General features: G+C 38.0%; 1 protein-coding gene and 1 long non-coding RNA gene across 3 annotated transcripts in view; one reads left to right on the top strand and one right to left on the bottom strand.

Annotated features, from left to right (window-relative positions):
• CNTNAP2 (contactin associated protein 2) overlaps nucleotides 1–25,363 on the bottom strand; it is a 2,304,198-nt gene that overhangs the window by 842,115 nt on the left and 1,436,720 nt on the right. For both annotated transcript variants that reach the window (NM_014141.6, XM_017011950.3), the window contains exon 12: nucleotides 16,627–16,746. In NM_014141.6, the coding sequence (NP_054860.1) occupies nucleotides 16,627–16,746 (120 nt within the window). The remainder of the gene's footprint in view (nucleotides 1–16,626; nucleotides 16,747–25,363) is intronic.
• On the top strand, nucleotides 17,497–21,428 carry LOC107986721 (uncharacterized). Its single transcript, XR_001744999.2, has 3 exons — nucleotides 17,497–17,637; nucleotides 20,263–20,490; nucleotides 21,284–21,428. It is a non-coding gene; the product is annotated as an uncharacterized LOC107986721 (long non-coding RNA).

Raw genomic sequence — 25,363 nt, 5'->3', positions numbered from 1 at the left:
TGAGTTTTCTAAGCTTAGAGAAGGCAAAAGACGGAAAAGTTGTATCTCTGTTGAAAATGATACTTTAATTTCGTAATACACAGGGTTTTAAAGTGTTTAAATAAATGGTTTCTTTTGTAGTTTTCTAAATGAAAAGTTGATATTGACATGCTTATATAAATCCCATAATTTTTTATTTTAGGAATGATTTATACTGTATACTAAATAATTTTCCACTATGGTAGAAAATTAATATATCATTTAAAGCAACATTCTTATAATCTAGGAATATACTTAATAAATATACTTCACATCTCTGAAAACATCATGATATAATAATACTGTTAAAGAAACCCTTTGCATGTAGACCTGCTTTTGAACACTATATTCTTATTTCGTTTCCTTTACTACACTACCGTTAATGGGAGAGCAATCAATGTGAATAAGGTCATGTCTGTAGAGCCAAAGACAAATTGAACCGGCACCAAAAATTCATTTTAATGACATTGCAGCAACCAGATGAGTCAGATGCTTAGTGTGGCCATGACAAGCCCTCTAAATTCTAAATGCTTTCATAAGAGTTCTGCCCAAGGCTTGAAACAAGAAAAAGAAAATATCAGTTGTTTTATCAACCAATCTCCTGCAAAGCCAACTTCTTTCTAATCATCTCTTTTAATTAGCTGAACTTTCATTCCTTTACTTTCCATTATCAATCAAAAGTATCAAACATGCTTATAATAACTGATTAAAAAAATCACCATGCAGATAGGCAATGTAATGATAAAACCGCAGCATCTATGAAACTTTCTGAGCAAGTTTGGTCCTTGCCTACCCATAGTTACATACAGATAGATTCTAAAGCGGCCACAATGAAGGAAGTACTCAAATGTTGTATAGAAGTTGGAACATTTTGCTATCAAATATCAATAGGAATGGAGATTAGGATTTCAATATTAAAAATGAATACTGTGTATGGAAATACTGGATACTTAATAAATAGAATCTGGAACTCCCAAAGAAAAGATAAACTTGAGGAGAGTAGAGGTGGTGAGAACAATGACACCAACACGATACCAAGAGAGAATTCTCTATCCAGAGGGGGTGAGCCTTTCTTGCATGGTGTGTTGCTTTATATTTGTTTGCAGATGATATTTAACTCATTTTTTTTCTCTGATCTCATTTTCCTCTGAGCCTTTGCCTATAAAATGGGGTAGCTATTGAGAAAAAAAAAACTTGTTATGAAACAGATATTGAAGCAAAAGACAGAGCAGTTAATAGAAATAGTGGCTTGCCATTTCAGCCCCCTCCTGCCACCCCAATAGAAGAAACTCTACATGGGAGAGACTTTAAACGTTACATGGGCTACAAGCCTTTGTATACACAAGTAGAATGGGGGCTACAGATAGGAGTGATTTAGAGAGCAATGGAAGGTATCCTGTCTGAAAATATTGCTTCCATATTTTGGTTCATCTTGTTGTTATTCTCTTTGAAATGCAAATACCACTGGGAGAAGAAACTATTATATTAATGTGCTTAGCGTCATGTCAAATCCTCTTCTTCTATCTACTGGAGAACACAGAGGGAAGACTATGGTAATAAGGATATATTAAAGAAGCAATGAGCAAAGCAAAATGTAAAGAAAACTAATGCTTAAGCTGGCCTGGGATTGTAGTTAGTAAGTAGCAGCAGTGACGCAGAAGTATGATGAATGAACCGAGGATCATCAGTGACACTGTTAGTAAAACACAACCCTTTATAGCATGTTACAACTAAGCAACATGCTGGTCACGTGAAAGTAACCATCTCTTGCACGTGTTTTCCAAACTGACTGCTTTATGTTGACATAGTTTCTTTTATAAACAGTTGGTAAAACTACCTGGATAGTCAACTCATAGGCTATGTGGTTTGTAATTTACTTTTAAAATACATCCCAAGGATGGTTAGATATAATTGCATGTGTATTAGACAATATGGCTCTATATCCAAGGGTTGGTGTAAGGCTGGTCAGTCACCCTAAGCGAGAACAAAACCCACACTTCATAGGGGGGTTGGCTAGCATTTCATTAAAAGAACAGATTTTAGAGGTAGATACTACCCCAAACGTATAAGTTGCATTTATCATAGCTCAAAACCTGCTATTTTGTTACATAAATTTAATTGTTAGTTGCATTATGGAAGTTGACTTTTCACTGGTGGAAGAAATTACTGATGTTCACCTATGTTGCTTAGCTAAAACATTTTAGTAACTCTTCACTCTTGCATCAAAATGATGAAAGAATCTAGTGAACTCTTTACCTTTTACTTTTCATAATGCTGACTGAGGCCTGATTCTTAAATAGATCTTTTTCAGTCATTAAATTAGAGGACTCTAGTTACCTGATCCCAGTATAAGGCAAACTCAATCCTGCTTCTAGAATATTTTCATATTTACTGTAAAAACAGCCATACAAGGACAAGTTGGAGCACCTAAAAGGATAGAGCACTTGGACTTTTTCAAGTTTATAGGACAGATTGTGGGAATGATTTTTTTAGCATATTGCTAATAAACGCATGTCTTCTAATTATAAGTGATGCACACTCTTACCTATCTCAAACTTGTTTTCTTATTTAGCACTGAGATTGGTGGTGGCTACTTAGCTCTACTGAAAAAGACACAGTGGTGAGGTCTATTCACAGCAGTAGTAGTGCTGACATATACCAGACACTCTGCTGGGTTCAGTAGTAAACAAGACAGACATGGCCCTTGATCAGTCTAGAATCCAGTTAACCAGAAATCATAGAGAGAAGAAAAAAATTTTCAAATAATAATAATAGTAATTTATATTATTATAAGAACTGAGGGTTTCTTCGAATGTTTCAACCTATTAAAAAGTGAAAGTGACACACTTATGCCACTAAATGATACAGGATGTCATCCAAATCTATATTCTTTGTGTAAACAGCCTTTTGTAAATTGTGTTACAGAGAATGTTAATATCTGTTTGTGTTTCAGTTTCCATATCTCAAAATTGGGACCCTAATACTTCTCAGGGTTATTGTGAAGAATAAATGAAACACAATAGATGAAAGAATTTATCATATTACCTCTCATACAGCAGATAATCAATAATAAACACTTTAAGAATTATGACACTCCTTAACCAAAAAGGAAAATTTATTAATTTACATTAAAATTTGGAGATTTTCATACATTTTAAAATACGTGTTTTGAAACATGTATTTGAACTATTTGGTTTTATGACATTAAATTACAGAATTAAAAATAAAGAAGCTGCACCTTGGTTAGGATGGTGAGTAAACACTGGCACACTGACAATTAACTTATATGCCTTCTAAATCCCCTAAAGCTAGGGAATTCACACACACATACACACACACACACACACACACACAGTTGTATACCCCTAAAGCTAGGGAATACACACACACATATATACACCCCTAAAGCTAGGGAATACACACACTCACACACACACATATACCCCTAAAGCTAGGGAATACACACACACACACACACACACACACACACACACCCCTAAAGCTAGGGAATACACACACAGTCTCTCACACACACACACACACACATATATATACCCCTAAAGCTAGGGAATACACACACACATATGCGTACTCCTAAAGCTAGGGAATACACACACACACACACAAACACACACATATGCATACTCCTAAAGCTAGGGAATACACACACACACACACACATACACATATGCATACTCCTAAAGCTAGGGAATACACACACACACACACACACACACACACACACACACACACACACATTTCCCACAAAGACCGGGAGAATATGAATCAATACTAGCAATACAATTTTGGAGGATGGAAAGTAAATGAATATGTGCTCACTGACTTAGTAGAATGCTGAATCTTAACTTGAAAGTCTGGAAAGATGAGAACCAACCCAACTTTCGACCATGAATCCATAAAAGATTCAGTAATTAATAAAGTAAGGAGAACTGCATTAAGGCTGTTTGACAGATAGTAGATCCCTAGGTCTCCTAAGCCTTGTGGCTGATTGACTACTCCTCTCTCACTCTGGGAGATAACTGGAGGTTTATTTTCTAAAAGAATCCCTGCATTGAGAAGAACCAAGTATTACAAAGAATGTGGAAACTACACAGAAAATGGAGATTGCCTACACTTGTACCAAATACTGAATGTTCATGCTGTTAGACCTCTTTCCCCAAATGGTTCCAAGATTGTTGGCAACCAGATCAGAAACCTCCAGGAAAGAATTTTAAAACGTATCCTTAGAGAACCTGACTAATAAAGAGAAAATGAAAAAAATAATGCTGACAACAGATGAGAGAGTCCTAAAACGGGAACACTCAGCTTCCTCTGCAGTGAGGTGATCAAATAATTTATCATCCAAACAAGGACACTACTGAGAATAAAAGGAAGAGCTATTCACAAGGACATCAGGGCAATGGGAGTAAAATGGGACTGTACTGAGCAAGCCAGGACATAATTGTTACTCTAACCCACAGTAAAGCTCCAAGTCAACAAGACCCTCCCACTCGTAATAATAAACACACAGCTAATAATAATCACGAATATGAGGAAAGCTGTGAAGGTCAGAAAAAAATGAACAGAATCAAGTAACTTGGAGAAAACTAAGAAAGAAGGGAAAAAAAGATGTTTTATTATCCTTGGGATACAAAAAAGGTATTGCATTCATAAAGCAGTAATAGAACGCCATTAGAAAAGGAAATTTTCAAGAAGAAAAAAGAACTCTGATTTAAAACCACAATGAAAAGCATTCTAGAAAGAGACAATAGATAAATCATAAGAGACAGAATCACAAACAGATAAATAAAAAGAAATGTAAGAACATGAGTTGCCAATGTTAAAGTGAACACCCAGCAAATACATGAAAACTGACCTATTCCAAGTCACGTTGTTTTGAAATTTCAGAACATCTGGAACAAAAACAAGATTCTTCTAACTTTCAGAGAAGAAGTAGGTTGTACTAAAGGATCAAGAAGCTACCAGGGGATGTGCTATATCCACATTAGAGGGTAAAATTAAAATGAAGAAGACATTATATAAAAATCATGCATTCCAATATAGGGGGGATGAAGACATTCTTGGATAAATAAACACAGACATGGTGAAGATGAAGTCCATGATGATGGTATACCCCAGATATAGAGAGCAAACACTTCATGTTAGAACAAAGTGAAATGTCAGCAAGATGCTCAATATTATTTTATAGTCTTTTAAAACCTGAGAGCAAAAAGATATCAGATTCTACAATGTACTAACAAACTTCCCGCTCTGTCCTCCATGCCCTGCTGCCTGGAGCAGCAAAGGCATTCATTTCATCTCTCAAAATTATGCTGCCTTGTCCTAGCCCTGAAACCTAGAGCTACACCAAGTGAGCTTAGAAACAGAAGGACAAATAGGGGTCCAGTGAAGATAGAATAACATGGATGCACATAAAAGCAAAACATGAATAACAACAGTAATGATGATGAAGTGAATGATACAGCAAGTTTTTGCCTAATCTCACTTTTTAATGCTGATTTTGTTCAGAAATCTGAGTAAAAACCGAACATGAGATTAATAATTATGTGAAGAGTTCAATGCTAATGAAATTGTCTGTACGTAAATGCAGCAAACAGATTTTTTGACAACTTCATCCACAGGGATATTTTTTCCCAAAGTTGTATTTTCATTCTTCATTAATGAGACAAGTACTTTTATGCAGCAATCATTTATGTGGGGCACTGAAAAGTTTTAGGGCCTCTAGTTTAAGTCAGGTCCAGGAAATAAAACTTTAAATATTTTCCAGTTTGGGCAACATATAATATTGGTGCAATTTACTATTTAACTTTCTTGGTTGTGGTGATTGGACAAAGACACAAGATAAAAAGAGAGATTAGCTGCTATATGAGATTTTCTTTCTAAAATTTCCAGGGACATTCTGATATGAAACTTGACATCCTCAGAAGAAATAAAAGGTGATCCACAAATTGGAAAAACCTAAAGTTTGGAGAAACAGAAACAGTTATTATTGGCTTTAAGTTTAGCCGGAAGAGAGAAATTCCTAGTTAAAAAAAAGTATGAGATTATTCCTGTGGTTTTTGATTTTTGATTGCAAAGAAATGAGTTGATCTTAATTGAATTTCCCAACATGTGTGTGTGTGTGTGTGTGTGTGTGTGTGTGTTTCCCATCCTGTTTGAATAGTTGATTACTGTAGACTAGGCAAGAGTTTCAGATTCCAAGTGCCAGAGGTAATCAAACAACAGTCCCTAGCCATCCACACTGTGAAGTCTTTCTCGGATTTTGAGCAGAGAAATTGCATAAGAAAGGCAGTGCTTTTAAAAGCACAAAATCAAGCAGTGTCTATAAGATATTGTTTTGTCAGGTTACATGAAAACATTTGAAGGAAGAGCATTTGCATAGAGAGTACGATTTTGGAAACCTCAGAAGGGCTGAGTGACCTGTGATATACCTAAAGCCACTTCATCTTGATTTCACCTGGGGTCTTGTACCCCCTTTCTGGGTCCTCTCCTGTGGTGTAGGCCTCACTGGATCTCATGGTTTTCCTCTCTTTTTTTTTTTTAATTTGAAGTTTGAAAACCATTTGAGAACTTCTATAGTATTAACCTATCACTATGGCTGACACACAATGAAGATGAGATTGCAAAGAAAGCCTGGCAGGCAGAAGCTCTGGAATGAGGCTGAATCCAGAAGGGAGTCTTTGGGAGTGGGTAATCCGTTACGGAGAAGAGTTCTTTACAGGCTGTGTTTGATCAGTGAGTTGGTTCCGAGATTTTCAATTGAAGCTGTATGAGCAGAATTGAATTCAAAGATTTATACTGATTGTGAAGAACTGAAATAGCTGAATGCGTGAAGCAGGACTTGCTGAGTGATTACAAAGGTTTATAACAAAGACAGCCTGTGAGAGGTCGACAAAGAGGAGAAGATGTGTCTGAAAGAAGACATAAAGGACAGCTATTCTCTGAGTGGGTTAACCATAGAGGAGGTAAACTAGGTTAGGAGACAGAAAGAGGAGAGAAAATGGCTTTGATGAGAAAGAAATAAAAATGAGTAGAGGGAATATAATGGAGGAAGCCAGTATACACATCAGAGAAATAGTTATGATATAAAGGAAAATGAAGGGGTTAGAAGCTTAGTAGCGCCCAACTTATGAATGTTAATAAGCCCTAATATAGAATAGGAGAGCTCTGTGTGTCCTCATTTCTACATGATTTCCTCTCTAAAAGGGGAAGAATGAGACACTACGATCATTGTTACCGATGATATCCAGTACAATTCCATTCAATCCTGTTGCATATTCAAACAAGATTTTGTTAGATTCAGTTTAAGACTTTACATTGAAAAATTAACTAGATGTTGGGGATAGAGTTTAAGTTATTCTGAAAGCTGGGCTCAAACCTTAAGGGATGATAAACCTAGGTAGACAGGAAATATACAAATTATGTAAAGCTCTTAGAAAATTATATTAGAGAAAATACTTGTAGTTGAATTAAGAATTAAAAATGAACTCATCAGATGGGAATTGAACAATGAGAACACATGGACACAGGAAGGGGAACATCACACTTCTGGGGACTGTTGTGGGGTGGGGGGAGGGGGGAGGGATAGCATTAGGAGATATACCTAATGCTAAATGAGGAGTTAATGGGTGCAGCACACCAACATGGCACATGTATACATATGTAACTAACCTGCACATTGTGCACATGTACCCTAAAACTTAAAGTATAATAATAATAAAAAAAAGAACTAAAAATCATACTAATTGCCTATAATGGTTTATATATCGATTTCATTTAAAATGTGTCCTCTGATTAAAAACCCCAAGGCATTAGTTAGATAATTAAGAAGTAAATTGTTTATAACAAAAATGCTGTCCAAACCACAGATAATGAATCAGAGCTGTGTAAGAAAGTTTCAATGATAATGAAGAGATTTGAATAAAAAATGCTCATTTCAGCAATCATATTGCAAATCGTACTACAGAATCTAAAATGAGGAGTGCTGTTCCTATATATGTGTGAACTTGTGTGTGCACATACACATACACACGGTAACTACAAACCAGCTCTGAACACACAAGCCTGGCTGAAAAGTCAAGCTTTATTATTTACTACATGTGTGGCCCAGTACTTAAGTTCTCTGAGCTCTAGTTTCATCATCAAAAAATGGGAGAACAATAGTATTACCCACCTTGTGAGGTCGTCATGAGTTATTGGATGAGTTAATGCATGTGATATTTTAAAAATGTGCCTGGCATTTAGTTTGCCCTCAATTATGTATGCAGGTACCTGTATAAAATATACAATCTTTATTGCACAGTGACTAATGTGTTAGTAATTGTCATTTCTGGTTGACAAGCAATTTTTATTTTTGCTTATCTTTATTGTCAAAGTTTTTACAGAACAATATGTTACAATTATAAGAGCATTAACAGTAAAGCCTAAGATTTTATAATCTAAATATGGCACTGTTGTTACTCAAAAGGTAGAAATAAAGGTTGCTGGAATTATGAATAATTTACAGAGGCACATAGGTAAGCATGCTAAACAGAATTCTAAAATGGTCTTCAAGATTCTAGCCACCTGGTGGGTACACCAGGCATAATACCCTCTCCTAGACTGGGGGTGGGGCCATCAAATATGATGGGGTGTCACTAATGGGACCGGGCTTCTTTACATGGAAAAGATGAAGAGATTTTGCAGGTGTAATTAAGGGCTGTAAACTGGTGGGTTTGAGTTAATCAAATGGGTAATTATCCTGAGTGACGACCAAGTCAGGTCAGCGCTGGAAAGCGAGTCAGAGAGCTCCTCCTGGACAGGCAGAGCCACAAGGCAGGGAGCTGGGAGCAGCTTCTGGGAGCTGAGAGCAATCTGGGGCCAATAGACAATAAGAATAGGAGACGTCAGTCTTTAAACCATAAGGAAATGAATCTATCAACACTTGAATAAACTTCCAAGAAGATCCCAAGTCTCTGGTAAAACCCAAGCCCTGGGTGACACCTTGGTCTCAGCCTGGCAAGACTCTGAGCAGTTGACCCAGGTCACCTGTGCCTTGACACACAGAAACTGTGGATACTAAATTTGTATTACTGTAAACTGCTAAGGAAAATAGTACAGTCATGTGTCACTTAATAACAGGCATAGGTTCTGAGAAATGTGTCATTAGGTGATTTGGTCATTGTGTAAACCTCATAGAGTGTACTTACACAAATCTCAGTGGCATAACCCATTACACACCTGGGCTGTACGGTAAAGCCTATTGCTCCTAGGCTACAAACCTGTACAGCATATTACTGTACTGAATACTGTGGACAATTGTAACAGAATGGTGTCTGTGTATATAACCTATCTACACATAGAAAAGGTGCAGTAAACATACACCATTATAATCTTATAGGACCACCATTCTAGATGTAGTCTGTTGTTGACTGAAATACTATGTGGTGCATGACTGTACTATAGGATAGAAACTGTTTTGCTTTGTGGACACGGGGAGGGGGAGGTGGAGGTGGGTGGGTTTATGATACTCTCCACTGGAGCCCAAGTCCACCACCTCAGTGACCCATTTCCTCCTGCCCACACTGTACTTGTAAAACTTGTGAGAAACATAATACTAAATACGATACTAATACTGAGTGCAAGCGCTTAGAAACTTCCGTTACAAGCTCTCTATAAATATTAGATTAAAAAGACACGAACAGCTTTCACTATTAGAGAGGATAATAGAATTTGATCAGCTAAATCCTGGGGCTTTATAAAGCACAAATTATGTAAACAAGCTTAATGGCTTTTTGATAAAACTACAAAACCAGGGCTAGGAAGAATGCAAGAGGAGTACTTTATTTGGACTTTAAACTTCACGCACTAGAGCACAGATGCTTGCTTAAATTAAGAAAAAAATGAATGCAAAGGGAGTTATGGAGAAAATGAGTTAGAGGATAGAAGATGAAGAAAAATATTGTCTTAGGTTTAAGGATAGACAGTAAAGTTTCAAGAATAATGGCTGGATCGAGCATTATTTACTATTGTTACTATTAATCATCTAGCAGAAAGAACTAAGTGAAAGCAGAAAGAACCTTTTAAATACAAAGGTTCAGGGTATCTAGGGAGAGGATGCTGGTAACACCTGAAGAAAATGGAAATGAAAAGCTGAAATGTTAGAAATATACAATTAAAAGAGGTTGATACTGAAAATATAAGATAGTTTATATTCACAAAAGTTTTAACACCAAATTTTCAGAGGGAGCATAAAAATGGAGAAGGAAGGCGAGGCTAACAATGATCACATTTTATCATGTACCCTAAGATCTAAAAAAAGAAACCAGGCTTTGGCTTTCACAGGATGATAAATTTTTCTACAAAGGATTCTGTGAAAAATCTTCTCTCCTCAATGTCATCAACTGTGCAGCACTTGAAATGCTCTATAATTTAGGACACCCCCTAATTTCTAAATTTCCAAGAGATGTAGCTCTGAGCTGCAGACAGTCAGAAGAATTACATAGTAGAACTACTGCCTTACGATAAAAAATGAAGAGTCAATTTATGTCAAACTTAGCAAGAAATAGTAAATTCAAGCTTGTTTGAGATAAGAAGCCTCTGTCTAAATTATTTGACTGCAAGCAGTGATTTTTTTCATGTCTCATGGTAACAATGGAAATATTTTCCTTTTTTTTTTTGAAGGAAAGGCAGTGAAGATATCAACTTATTCCAATTACTGAACTTTATTTACAAGAAACCCGAGACAAAGATTTTTTTATTTTATATTTATTTATTTTTTGAGACGGAGTCTCGCTGTGTTGCCCAGGCTGCAGTGCAGTGGCACAATCTCGGCTCACTGGAACCTCTGCCCCCCGGGTTCAAGTGACTCTCCTGTCTCAGCCTCCTGTGTAGCTGGGACTACAGGTGTGCGCCACCACACCCAGTTAATTTTTGTATTTTTAGTAGAGACGGGGTTTCGCCATGTTGGTCAGGCTGGTCTCCAACTCCTGACCTCAGGTGATCCACCCACCTTGGCCTCCCAAAGTGCTGGGATTACAGGCATGAGCCGCCGTGCCCGGCCAAAGATTTTTTTTTTAATGTGTTCAAGGTCCTACAGTGACTTTGCGTAGCATCTGCCTGTAGGACAACTTTACCTGGTTGAATTACAGGGACCCAAAGCAACATAGAATCTTACCCTTTTCCTAGTTTTCCTCTGCTCCTCTGTGCTCCATGTCATGTGGTTACCATTTTCAACTTTCTCTGTCTCATCAGGAACGGTCTGGCCAACTCCTCTTCTTAAATACCCATCAAATCAATCTCCTCCTCTTTTACTTTATTGCCACTACTTTAAGTCTCCATTTTCAACCTCTGCATTACTACGGGGGCTTTCGAACTTGTTTCCCTGTCTTATCTCTGGGTGTCCTTTGGAGAATATTATTCACAGCTGTCAAAGTGATGTTTTTAATATACAATGCCTGATTAAATTACTCTTTTGCTTGAAACCATCCATTGCTTGCTTTCACCTCAGGACAAACTTTCAACTGCTTTGCATCCTACACAAAGCATTTTGTAAGTTGACCTATTTTTCCTTCTCCTGATTTCTCAGCCGCATAACACCCACTTGTTCTTCAACACTCAGCTCATGAGTCAGCCGTTTTGGGGAAGATTTTGCTGGTGTCCTATGCAGTGCTTGAAATGCTCTGTCATTTAGAACACCCCCTAATTGCCTAGGATGTAGCTCAATCCATGGCTCCCCTATGCTGTCTATGCAGCATCCTTAGAAGGTTCATTATTCCTGGCCATACCATGTTCCCCGCATTCTAGTGGCTATTATTTGCCATACGTCTGTGGCACCACCACATCCACTGTATATGTGTGCATGGATGCCAAGTTGCTCTTCATTCTCCAAGTCTTTCTGTCATTCTCTAGGATCCAAGCAGTCATTTTAACCTCCACACAGATGATCTGTTTGCCCCCCAAATGCTCTCAGACACTTTTTCTCTACTTACCCTCAATTATGTATATTTTTCCAAACACTTATTAAATATTTTAACACGAGAACCCTAATCTCTCTCTATTGAATTATTGAGTAATATAGTTTGGCTCTGAATCCCTGTCCGAATCTCATCTTGAATTGTAATCCCCACAATTCCCAAGTGTTGAGGGAAGGACCTGGTGAGAGGTGATTGGATTATGGGGACAGTTTCCTCCATGTACTTCTCATAATAGTGAGTTCTCATGAGATCTAATGGTTTTATAAGTGTTTGACAATTCTGCCTTCACATGCTCTCTCCTGCCGCCTTGTGAAGAAGGCATCTGCTTCCCCTTCTGCCATGATTGTAAATTTCCAGAGGCTTCCCCAGCCATGAGCAACTGTGAGTCAATTAAACCTCTTTCCTTTATAAATTACTCAATCTCAGGGAAGTTCTTCATAGCAGTGTGAGAACGAACTCAGGGAAGTTCTTTATAGCAGCGTGAGAACGGACTAATTCCTCATCCCCCCACCCCCCTTCTCCCCTTCCCCCTCCCCCTTCCTTTCCCCTCCCCCTCCCTCTACCCCTCCTCCTCCTCTTACTCCTCCTCCTTCTTCTTCTTGGCAGGGTTTCTGGCACTCAGGCTGGAATTCAGTAGTGTGATCATGGCTCATTGCAGCCTTGACATCCCAGGCTCAAGTGATCCTCCCACCTCAGCCTCCTAAGTAGCTGGGACCACAGGTTTGCACCACCATGCCCAGCTAGTTTTTGTTTTTGCTTTTTTTTTTTTTTTGGTAGAGATAGGGTCTCACCATGTTGCCAAGGCTGGTCTTGAACTCCTGGGCTCAAGCGATCCACCTGTCTTGGCCTCCCAAAGTGCTGGGATTACAGGCGTGAGTCATCGTGTCCCGCCTATTGAGTTTCTAAGAGCTCATTCCTGAGATGCTGTTTCTCTGTTACATCAACCCCCAAATGATATTATCAATTCTCATATATTAATATGCTAATAATTGGCACATTTATATCTCTAACCCAATCAGGCTTTTGGGGCTCACCCAACTGTAAAATTTGCATCTCAGTTTAGATGGCACATGGCACTTCACATTTAATTAGGTCAAAAGTAAGTTCTTGAGCTTCCTTTAAAACTGTTTTACCCTTAATTGTCCACTTCTCCTAAATGGCACTAAAGTTCATCCAGCTACTCAGTCCATATGTTGAGAAGTTAGTATTGATAACTGTCTCTCTTTAAACATTCTCATCCAAACTTTTACCAATCCTGTCAATTCTACCTTCAAAACAGATCTAAAAATGTATCAATTTCTCATCACTTTAAACCATCCCTACCCTAGTTCAAGGGAGCATCATCTCTTCATTGGACTTTTGCAATAATAGCTTCAGAGCTGGTCCCAATGTTTTCATGCTGTCTCTTATAGAAGCCCAAGTGGTAGATGTATGAATGCAATCAAGATCTTATTTTCCTGCTTAAAATCTTTCCATAGACGACCACCCACTGCAATTGAAAAATAATAATAAAAAAAAGCGCACTTTTTTCTGCCCTACACTCCTTATGGCTGGTCTGCTCTGGCCTGCCCCCACCCACCTTTCCCCTGCTTTATTTTGAGTCACTCTCTTACGCTCACTATGTTCCAGCCACTGGGATTTCAGTTCTTTGGAATAAGCCAATCTCTCTTGTGCCCTGGGGGATTGATTTATATGGCTCATTTCTCTTCTTCACCTTTTTGAGTGCTTGCCTCCTTTTATACTTCGGATTTAGGGGAGCATTTATAATTTTTCATGACATAGAGTTACATATCAAGACTTTATAGACTACTTCATGCTGTTACTCCCTCCTCTTCTTTAACATGTATCTCTTGAAAATGGAATAGCCCAAGCCAAGCTTTGTGGCATCATGCTCTCTTTATGATGTTAAATCCACATTCTTTCCAGGAAAAGGAAGGGTTGGTTAGTGGCAAAGAACTGAAAGGTGCCTGCTGGCCTGTAAGGCAAGATTCTTCAAGGGTCCTTGAACACACTGATGTTTGTAACTATCTTGAATGAATAGAAAAAAAATTCTACTTGCAAAAAGTTGTATTCTGCTCCTTAGAGCTCAGAAGTCATTTGAAGTGCTGAGTTAAATTGCAGCCATGCTGTTTAAGGGAGATATTGATGAAGATAAGACATATGTTTCTGAGCAAAGGGTTCAATGCACAGGAGAAGCTCTCCTGAGAGTAGACTAGTCCTGTGTGTTGTGTGTGTCCTTGATATGAGAATTATGTATATTATAGTTTTGTTTTCTTTTCTAATTTCCTTTGAGATGAATTTAAGAAAATAACTAAAATAAATTCTTAATTGTCCAGTCCAAGCCACGATGCCCTGATTTCCCTTGAGGTTAAGAATAGACTTTAATTGTATTATATATTTTCATATATTAGGAGAAACCAGAATCGAGATTCTTATAAATTAAGTCAAGTTATCATAGGTTAATATTTTAGTGCTAAAAAGATAAAAATGAAGGTATATAAAAAAGAATTCAAGTGCATTGACAAGTCCAGCTGTCAGTGAACTCTTAGATTAATCTCTCTGGTAAGTGTGTTCCTTCTCTGAGACATGCCTAAAGTTCTTTTTCAAAATAGAAAAAAAAATTAAACTGGGAGCTAGCATCTTGCATATTTCTAGGGGAAATTTAGAAATTTAGGGGGACGCTAGTTCCCATTTTATTTTTTTATTTCTATTTTGAAAAAAAAATTGAGACAGGTCTCACTCTTTTAGACTGGAGTGCAGTAGTGTGATCACAACTCACTGCAGCCTCGAACCTCCGGGGCTCAAGGAATCCTTCCACATGAGCCACCCAAGTAGCTGGGACATTTTCTAAATAGAGATGTGGTCTCACTATGTTGCCCAGGCTGGTCAGCTTCCATTTTATTATCTTCTCCACATGTCTTCCATACTACACTGATGCCCTCATCATTTTCCCTTTCATTCTGTACCATGCCTGGCTTCCTGATACTGCTGAGAGTTCCTCGCTGGTGTCTGCTTGCCTAGAGTACCATTCATGGTTTTCAGTTCTAGTTTTACAATCTGATTTCCACTTCACACATAATGAATCAGAGTCTGCAGGGGTGGAGCCAAGAAGTTTGTATAGAAAACAAAACCAAAGACAAAATAAAACTCTATAAGTGGTTCTGAACTATAGCCAGAAGATCCATGGGCTGCATATAATTCAGTTTGAATTTGCCTGAATAATATGGGCAAGTTTTATTTATTTATTTATTTATTTATTTATTGAGATGGAGTCTTGCTCTGTCACCAAGCTGGAGTGCAGTGGCTTGATCTCGGCTCACTACAACCTCCTCCTCCAGGGATCAAGTGATTCTCCTGCCTTAGCCTCCTGAGTAGCTGGGACTACATGTGTGTGCCACGAAGCCCAGCTAATTTTTGGATTTTTAGTAGAGACAGGGTTTCCTCATGTTGGCCAGAATGGTCTCGACCTCTTGACCTCATGATCCACCTACCTCAGTCTCCCAAGATGCTGGGATTACAGGCGTGAACCACCACACCTGGTCTAATATGGGCAAGTTATTTAACTACTAAAGCCTTTAAATTTTTTCATCCAATAACTTTTATTGAAGGTTTACCGTGTGTTAGACAATAAGCTAAGAACCATATGCAGATTACCTTATTGTATTCATACAATAATGCTATGAGGTGGGTATTCTCATTAATTCATTTACAGATAAAGATTCTGAGGTTTACTGAATTTAGCAAAGTTACTAAAGTGCCCAATATTACACATGTGGTGATTAATGAAGCCAGGATGTAAACTCAAGTGTCTGTCCAAAGGATTTGTCATGATACTTGACAGATGGTAAACAGTCACACTCAGTAACTACCATCAGTAGCATCTTATTATCATTACCCTTATCATATTATGCCCAGGAGTTCACATCAAATGCTGGTCTTTTGCTGGAGCCAGTAAATAATGCATACCTCACACCTTCCTCTGGATTTTTGAAGCGTAAGATATTGCCAAGTGTCTGATGGAAAATCTGTTCTTATCTTAGAGATCTGCACATTTTACACATTGTTGTGGAAGTTGACAAGAACCCATAATCTCATTTCACATGGAAGTGGAGAAAAACTAGGTCCTCTTCCCAAGAAGAAAAGCCCAAATATATTTCATAAAAGCTTCAGGTAATTTTTGCTATTATCAGAATGGGATTTCAGGACTTAGAAAGATTTCTTCTATCATTATGGAGAATCGAGGAAGGTCTGTCACGATCTAAAAGCTTCCTCTAGCATGCACAGTGAGAATATTGGAGCAGTGATGCTAAATTTCCCTAATCTAGGTTACTAGTTCTTTCTTTGGGCTGAACTTTGCAACTTTACTTTCTGTTTTTTTCCCCCTACATGCTGATTTTAAAAAAATGATGCTTAATTGTTCACATCAAACATGAACTTTTTGAAAAGCACAGTGTCAAAATGTTTTATTGCTCTAATAATACATTTCATCATCTTATCTAACAAATCCAGCAATATGTTGCTGATTAGATGTTGTGATAAAAACATAGCACCAAAGAAACAAACCATTGGTGGAACTACTTATTCGTGACATATAGAAAAGCATCTTCATAAAACATAAATATGACACAGTTACCTGTCATGTTGCAGTAAACTTTCAGAGGCCCCAGAGGTCCGCTGCCATCAGGATCTATCCAGTAATAATTTGATGTCTGTCCTAGGTGTTTGTAGGCTTCACAGGAAGGCTCGTAGATAGCTAGAACAAACAAAATATCCTACATAAGCACAGCACAGAACAAATGGCTCCCCAGATAAATGTCCCAGTGGCATATTGCAATGCTAGCAAACCACTAGTTAGGAGTAGTTCTTCCTGGAAAGAGCGTTCTTTGTCTCTAAATTTAAATTCATGATTTGTTTCTTTCTCTATAAGCATTCCTGACCTACCAAAGACAGCAAGCTCCTGGTATGACTTTATGTTGGGGAAAAGACTAAAATAATCAATCCTTAAATAAATGTAATTTTTATTTTACTGGGGCTCATGATCATTGAAAACAATATTTAATTTCTACTTATTTATAGATATTATCCCCTTACTATAAAAAACTTATATTGGCTGCTTTGTTGGTTATGAACTAAGAGGCCAGGAAAAATTACCCTTCACTCTCTCTGCCTCTCTCTTGTGCACACACACACATACACTCACATGCACACTTATTTTTTGCATAGTTTGTACAAGTTGTCCATAAATAGTATGTAATTTTGAATCTTCCTTTCTCAAAAAAAGGAAAGAGATTTCCTTGATTCATTTTATTTGTTCCAGGTGCTTTAATTACATCAAATCTAGTTTGTGTAGACGGCTGACATTCATGTAATTAAATTATGTTCTTATTCATTATTTCCCTTTTTATTCCAGTGCTCATGACAAATTTTCTTTTTCTCACTGAGACTGCACCTGTTTTCAGAAGTACAAAACGGACATTTACATATCTCCTTTGTAGTTAGAACATCTAAAATGCTACTGACAAAACTTTCTTTTAAACAGCTCTGCCCAGGAATTAATGAAGAATGTGAAAGTTTTCTTCACAAAACTAAGATATGTTTTCGGTAAAAATATGTCAACCTGATACAAAAGCAGTGAAGTCTTTGGGTAAGTTGCACTTGAATTACACTCCTTAGGGGTTGTTGTGTGTTAAACTATAAAATAGTACAAAATAAATTACAAAACATTGTTAAGCTTATATTGTACTAATTAAAAATAATTGCATGGTCCTAGAATTAGAGAGCTTTCACTGAGGAGGGTCTCAAGGTCATTGCCACCTCTCTGGATTTCCAGCCTGGCTATGCACAAACCTCAGTAGTTACTCTAACAGGAATAATTAGGTTCTGGAAAAACTTGTTTCTCCAGTCAAATTCACTAGAGCCTGGTTGGAATCAGAAAGTCAGTTTCATGGGTGGTCTGATTCTGGGACCTCCCTTTTTTAACCTTCCTCTACCAAGTTCTCTGTGCCTCCTTTGGCTTTCTATGCCTTCCTCTTTCCAAGGATGTTAGACCTTCAACTCTATGTCATTTAAACAACAGCATACTAGATTCAAGCTTTCTAAAATTCTTTGATCTACCCATTTCTTCTTCCATGCCTCCCTCCCTCATTTCCTCCCTTTGCACATAGTTATTGAGGAACTATGCTGCACTGAGCAGTGCGTTAGGCATTGCAGATACAGCTGTGAACAACACGGATAGAAGACCTTCGAAACCGTGTTTGTTCACTAATTATTTTGGTATTGCTCATTTGTAAACTGCTCTTAGAAGAGGATGGGGCTAGAAAGCTCGGCAAAGCCCAGACAACTTTTGTCCCAGTGTAATTATTAATATGCCCACTTTCAATGTCCCAAGGGTCTCATTCAGATGATAAACTACACGGCTGCTCTAATTCAGAATGTCATACCAAGTAAAACAGTACAATAAAAAGCAGAGGAAAAGTATTTTTAAACTTTTAGCAGGAAGATGCCATAAGTCAATATAGGTTTTATATCAACTTATACAGAATGAAAACTCTGTGCAGCAATGCAATAGGTTTTAGGGAAGTAATTCAAAAGGTAAAAAGAGTATTTAGGCTGTTTCAACTATAGGCTGCCAGTTGAAAGATTACCAGTACTTAAACTAAAGCAATATGACAAAGAATAGAGTAAATAGGACTGATTCAATTTTTTTTTTTTTTTTTTTTTTTGAGACGGAGTTTCGTTCTTGTTGCCCAGGCTGGAATGCAATGGCGCGATCTCGGCTCACCACAACTTCTGCCTCCCAGATTCAAGCGATTCTCCTGCCTCAGCCTCCCAAGTAGCTGGGATTACAGGCATCCGCCACCATGCCCGGCTAATTTAGTATTTTTAGTGGAGACGGGGTTTCTCCATGTTGGTCAGGCTGGTCTCGAATTCCCGACCTCAGGTGATCTGCGCCTCGGCCTCTCAAAGTGCTGGGATTATAGGCGTGAGCCACTGCACCTGGCCTCAAATGTTTTTTTTTTTTTTTTAAGATCGGCAAGACATAGAATCCAACTGGATGTAGGTGATTAGGAATACAGAGGAGTTAAGAGTAAACTAAACTCACAATCTTTGAAAATAAAACTGTTTTGTTAATTTTTTACACCTCTCTCCAGATTATTAAAATTGGTATGTATAGCTCAAGAGAAACCAGGATGTCAGGTTCAAATTCTAGTTTTCCTCTTAGTCCCTTTGTCCAATCTGCCATTGAAACCATTCCCCTTCTTTTCCATTATAATATTTAGTAATAAATCATTGTCTTTTTCTTCTGCCAAAACTCCTTATCATTGTCTTTCATTTGGTATCTTGTTTACAACACTCACCTTATTCATTGGTTGTTCTACCCAAATATCTCCTCACTTCTCACTAAAGTGTGCTTTTTAACCAATGTTCTTCTAGTTATGAAACATCACTTTTATGTTAAATAATGTGTAATGTTTCCTCAATATCTATAAATTATATCACAGATCTTCATCTATGTGTACAAGAACTTGGGTTATCCTAACAGGTCTTTCTTGGCTTCAGCTGCTTGCCAATGTGAATGTTGTGCTCTGGTCAGGCAAATTCCCCACAGGAGCTCGCTTACCTCACACTCACCCTTTCTGGTGTGGCCTTTATCTACAATATACTACCAGCCACTTTCTCAATCTACAAAAGTTCTCAGTCAGAGTTAACAATTAGGCCGGGCACGGTGGCTCATGCCTGTAATCCCAACACTTTGGGAGACTTAGGTGGGAGGAATGCTTGGAGCCAGGAGTTGGAGACCAGCCTGGGCAACATTGTGAGACCCCATCTCTACAGACATTTTTAAAAAATATTAGGCCGGGCATGGTGGCTCACGCCTGTAATCCCAGCACTTTGGGAGGCCAACGTGGGCTGAAGGTCAAGAGATTAAGAGCATCCTGGCCAACATGGTGAAACCTGGTCTTTTCTAAAAATACAAAAATTAGCTGGGCATGGTGGCACATGCCTGTTGTCCCAGCTATTCAGGAGGCTAAGGCAGGAGAATCGCTTGAACCCAGGAGGCGAAGGATGCAGTGAGATAAGATTGTGCCACCGCACTCCAGCCTGGGTGACAGAGTAAGACTCCATCTCAAAGAAAGGAAGGAAGAAAGGAAGGAAGGAAGGAAGGAAGGAAGGAAGGAAGGAAGGAAGGAAAGAACGAACGAAGGAAAAAAGTTTTCTTTTTCTTCAAAGTATAACAATTATTGTGCTTGCCTTTCACCTACAATAGGCCTAAGCTGCTTTGCCTCATCAACGCTTACAGAAAACCAAACACTTCAGTCCAAAATTCTGCATGTGTGAAACACCTGGAGAGCTTATTAAAACAGAAATTCCTGGATTTCACCCCAAAGACTTGGACTCAGTAGAGAATTTGCAGTTATGACAAGCTCCCAAATGACGCTGGCACTACTGTCCTCAGACTGCATTTGGAGAAGCATAGATTTCATCCTGAAAAAAGGTAAATTCAAGGTAGACTAATTTTTATTTATATTTAAATATCCAGCAAAAGTAGGTTACTGAAAGACAATACAGTAAAATTGTACATATGATAAGGTTAGAATGCCACCTCACTTCACTGGAAATATGATAAAATGGAATGGGATGCAAAACCATAATGTCAAAAGAAATATATAAATACACAGAAAAATGTTTATAAATACATAAAAATAGTAAGAGGTGTTATTTTTCAGCAGTAATATTGTGGGTGATTTAAAACTGTTCACAGATTTTTAAATTTCCTACATCACTTTATAATGTGCATATGTTATGTTATTTTGTCTTTAAAATACATTTAAAAATATGTATCTAGAATTTTGACACTGCAGTAAAATGACAAGAATAGCTGTGATAGAGCAAAGTCACATTAGTTTTATCATCTGAATAAAGAATTAAGAAATTTTAGATCATATCTCCTTTCTGTCATTTACCGCCTGGATACTCTCCCTAACGTGGTTTTTTCAACTGTAAAATTGAGGTATTAAGTTGGTGCAAAAGTAATTGCGGCTTTGCTATGAAAAGTCATGGCAAAAACTGCAAATACTTTTGTAGCAACCTAATAGTAATACCTTCTTCACCAAGTTGTTGTGAAGATTAAATAAAATCAGATACTTCAAAAACTAGAAGTTATTGAGTATATTTCATTTTTTTATGCAGAGAATGAGCTAATGACAGTATTTACCCTGCATGCCTCAGCCAGTTAGCTCTGCACCCAGTGGAGTCCTAGCTGGGTTGCACAATTTTTGCACATTAAGCCCTAGGAGATGACAGAACACAGGAGCTAAGGCAGCAGCCACTGAAGAAACAGAAGGGTCTGAACCATTGTCGATAATTGAGTTTTGCCAGTAGACTGCTGAAGAACAGAAAGGTAATTGGGTTGATGGCAAAATAAATAGACTCATCAAGTCTATTGATTTATTTGTAAAGTAATTTTTCTCTGTTGCAACTCCAAGTCCCAAGTAAAAGTTCTCATGCTATATATTCATAATATCAGCTATTCAGAAATATTACTACTGAACATATCAGATTGAATTTCATAGCATGCAAAAATTTAGACAGTGACAAGTCCTAAATGTCTTTTTTTTTTCTTTTGAGATGGAGTCTGGCTCTGTTGCCCAGGCTGGAGTGCAGTGGTGCAATCTCGGCTCACTGCAATCTTTGCCTCCCGGGTTCAAGCGATCCTCTTGCGTTAGCTTCCCAAGCAGCTGGGATTACAGGTGCCTGCCAACATGTCTGGCTAATTTTTGTATTTTCAGTAGAGATGGGGTTTCACCATGTTGGCCAAGCTGGTCTCAAAATCCTGACCCCCGCCTGCCTCAGCCTCCCGACCCCCGCCTGCCTCAGCCTCCCAAAGTGCTGGGATTACAGGTGTGAGCCACTGTGCCCAGCCACTAAATGTCTTATTCATTTTCATTAAACAATGAATGAATGTTGTCTGTGTATTACCTATCATGGAAAATGATGAAGTACTATTGTATGAGTTTCCTCTTGCTGCTCTAACAAATGACAGACACTTAGTGACTTAAAACAACACCAATTTATCTTACAGTTCTGGAGATGATGATTCTGTTAATAATAATGATACAGTTCTGGTTAGAAGTTTGAAATGGGGTTCACTGGGCTAAATTCAAAGTGTTGGTAGCACTGTGTTTCTCCTGCAAATTCTAGGGGGGAAATCTATATACTTGCCTTTTCCAGATTATAGAGGCCACACACATTCCTGGGCTCATCATCTCAGTCCCCCATCTTCAAAGCTAGGAATTAGGTGGAATTTCCCTCCTGCTGCATCACTGCAACTCTCTGCTTTCATAGTCTCTTTCTCTGACTATTTTAAGGAGCTCTGTCATTACACAAAGCCACCCAGATAATCCAGGATAATCTCCTCAAATCAAGGCTCTTAACAAGCACAAAGTCCCTTTGCCATATAAAGTTACATATTCACTGGTTCCATGAATTAGGACATGAACCTCTGGTGGGGAGCATTATTTTTATCACAGATATATAAAAACTATATAAAATAATATGATTTTATATAAATAATGTATGGAAATAATATCACAACTATATAAAAATGATGACTCTATTTAAAGAATAACTTTTATTAAGCAACTAATGTGCTTCCAGTGTTGTGGATGAACACAAGGTATATTAAGCAGAATAATAAAGAAAGACGGAAGAATGAAGTCAAATTTTCATACTGACTTTAAAGGTCCACATAGCCTTGAAGGTTATGTCTACCAGTAGAATACGAAACACCATGGCCCAAGCAGACGATGTGACAGAGAAATTCTGTTAAAGCAGAAATTCTGCTCTCTGCTTACATGCAGACGTGGCCGCAGGCCTATACAGGATTGCCAAAATGCTGGCAGAAAGAGAAAAGCAAAAGGTTTAAGAGTAAAGACAAGTAACAGGCATGAATTGCTGGGAAATAAAGCATCGATTAAAGAATGGATAGGGTAGGGGGAGAAACATGAAGGAGGCCCTATTCCCTAGGAGAAGAGCTAGAGTTCCATGACGCTGATGAGCTGAGGAAGACTCTCTCCACACCTGTCTACTCCTCGTGCTTTGAGAGAAACAATTAAACTTGAAATATACATCCTTCCTGTTGTGACCTTGAAAAGCATGAGGATCACTAGAAGTGGCCGGGTATTAACCCATGTGAGAAACTTACTCATAAGTCAAAGCTGAGCACATACATAAAGGTTATCTTTGGAACATCATAAGCAGTCTTCCTGACTGTACAGAAGAGGGAAAAATATTCACTTTTAATGATTTGATATGAAACTGGGAAAAAGCATGAAATAATTTTAAATCTAATTTTGATAAGAAATGCTGTAATATAACATTTTGCGTATCCATCAATCGCTTATGAATGCCCTCACCTTTCTGCTCTTTTATACTGGAGGCGATCACATGCTTACTATATACTTGTACATACTTGCTGTAGGGACCAGGTTATAAGATGCTAAAATGAGGGATTGGTTTTCTGGGAATTTCTACCCTTGAATGGATAAAGAAGCCTTTTCATGTAAAACGTAGGCATAGCGGCGATATAGTTTATATGGGGCTTATCTGGGTTGGTATTGTTCAGTGTAGGATGGTCTCTGGGGCCCTCCTTATTCTGCTCCCTTTTTAACCATGAAACCACCTTCTGATCCTAATCTTGCTTTCAAAAATAAGTTTCTATATTGGAAAGAGGTAATTCTCATTAGAAACCATGAAACTGACTTTTTTATCTCAACAGACTCTAGTGAATTTGGTTGCAGGAATGTGTTTGCCCAGAACCTAATTATTCCTGTTAAGGTAACCACTGAGGTTTGTGCACAGCCAAGTTGGAAATCCAGAGAGGCGGCAATGACCTTGAGACCCTCCTCAGTGAAAGCTCTCTAATTCTAGGACCATGCAATTATTTTTAATTAGTACAATATAAGCTTCACAATACCTAAGTCCTCATTAACACTTGAATATTAACCTCATATGTTCTCTGTCTGTTTGGATTTTTTTTTTTTAGAGCTTGAATGAATACCCTGAGTAAACTACATTATTTCCCTTAGGAACCATTGTCTCATTATCAGCACACAGCAAATGAAGATGGTAGAGAGAATGTGGATTTAAAAACAGATATTCTGTATGCTAATATTGTGTCATGATCTTTCCCTGCATATAATTTCTGTATGAGATGTTATTCATTATAGCCCCCTAATGGGTTTATTTACCTGTCCAAGCCTCAAGGGGAGGGAGGAAATTAGGATTTTTTTAAAAAAGACAAAGTTTCAATTTCTTGTTGAAATTACAATAGCTTGTAGTTCTTTTACTTGATAAGTCCTTCAAAAAGTTTCTGAAAGCCAGAGTATATCTACATTTATTATTTCATTTCTACTCTCTCCCTTCCCCATACCCAGCCCATTTTTTCTTTTGTTTGATCCTTCCCAAATCCCTCTATAAATTGGCTTCAAGGCACTGTTTCAAAGAAAAAAAAAAATAATCCATACTATTGCAATGCCAGTCACAAAACCAGGACTCTTTGCCCCTGTATCACTGTGATTGCCATATTTCCTGGAGACTTCAATATCCATTCTTGGTATTCTTTGACCTGCACTCCACAATATATCAAATTTTCCTGTATTACATGACTAAACCTAAACAACTCTACTTGTATTTTATTCAGGGTTACTATTAGGTTATAGAAAACTCTAAGAAGGAGAGAAAGCCTACAAAATCCAACAGGCATGCTACAAACACGCTTCCTCAATTTAATGGGTCTGGACGAAGAAGCTTAGCATCCAGTTCATCTTGCTCAGATCCTATAGAGGTTGCTTATGTTGCTGCATCTCCTGAGTCTCCATTCCCATCTCTAACCTTCTCTCTCTCATTTCCTTTTTTTTCTTTTCTTTTGAGATAGAGTTTTGCTCGTCGCCTAGGCTGGAGTGCAATGACGCGATCTCGGCTCACTGAAACCTCCACCTCCCGGGTTCAAGCGATTCTCCTGCCTTGGTAGCTGGGATTACAGGCACGCGCCAGCATGCCTGGCTAATTTTTGTGCTTTTAGTAGAGACAGGGTTTCACCATGTTGGCCAGACTGGTCTCTTACACCTGACCTTGGCCCTCCCAAAGTGCTGGGATTACAGGCGCAAACCACCACCTCAGCCCCTTTCTTATTGCTAATTATTTTAGGAACACCTACTAATGTGGTAGTAGTATCTAACACTATACCTTGCCCTAGGAAGAAAAAAGTAAAAAAGTCATAAATCCTAGCTCTGGGGAATTTGCTATGTAATACATGGGGCAGGCATGTTAACTAAATAATATATATAATTTGTTAGATGTTATAAAAG

Source organism: Homo sapiens, chromosome 7, assembly GCF_000001405.40.
Source record: "Homo sapiens chromosome 7, GRCh38.p14 Primary Assembly".
NCBI classification, from domain to species: domain Eukaryota; kingdom Metazoa; phylum Chordata; class Mammalia; order Primates; family Hominidae; genus Homo; species Homo sapiens.
Note: the sequence above shows the minus strand (reverse complement) of the source record. Positions and strands in the feature narration are given on the sequence as shown.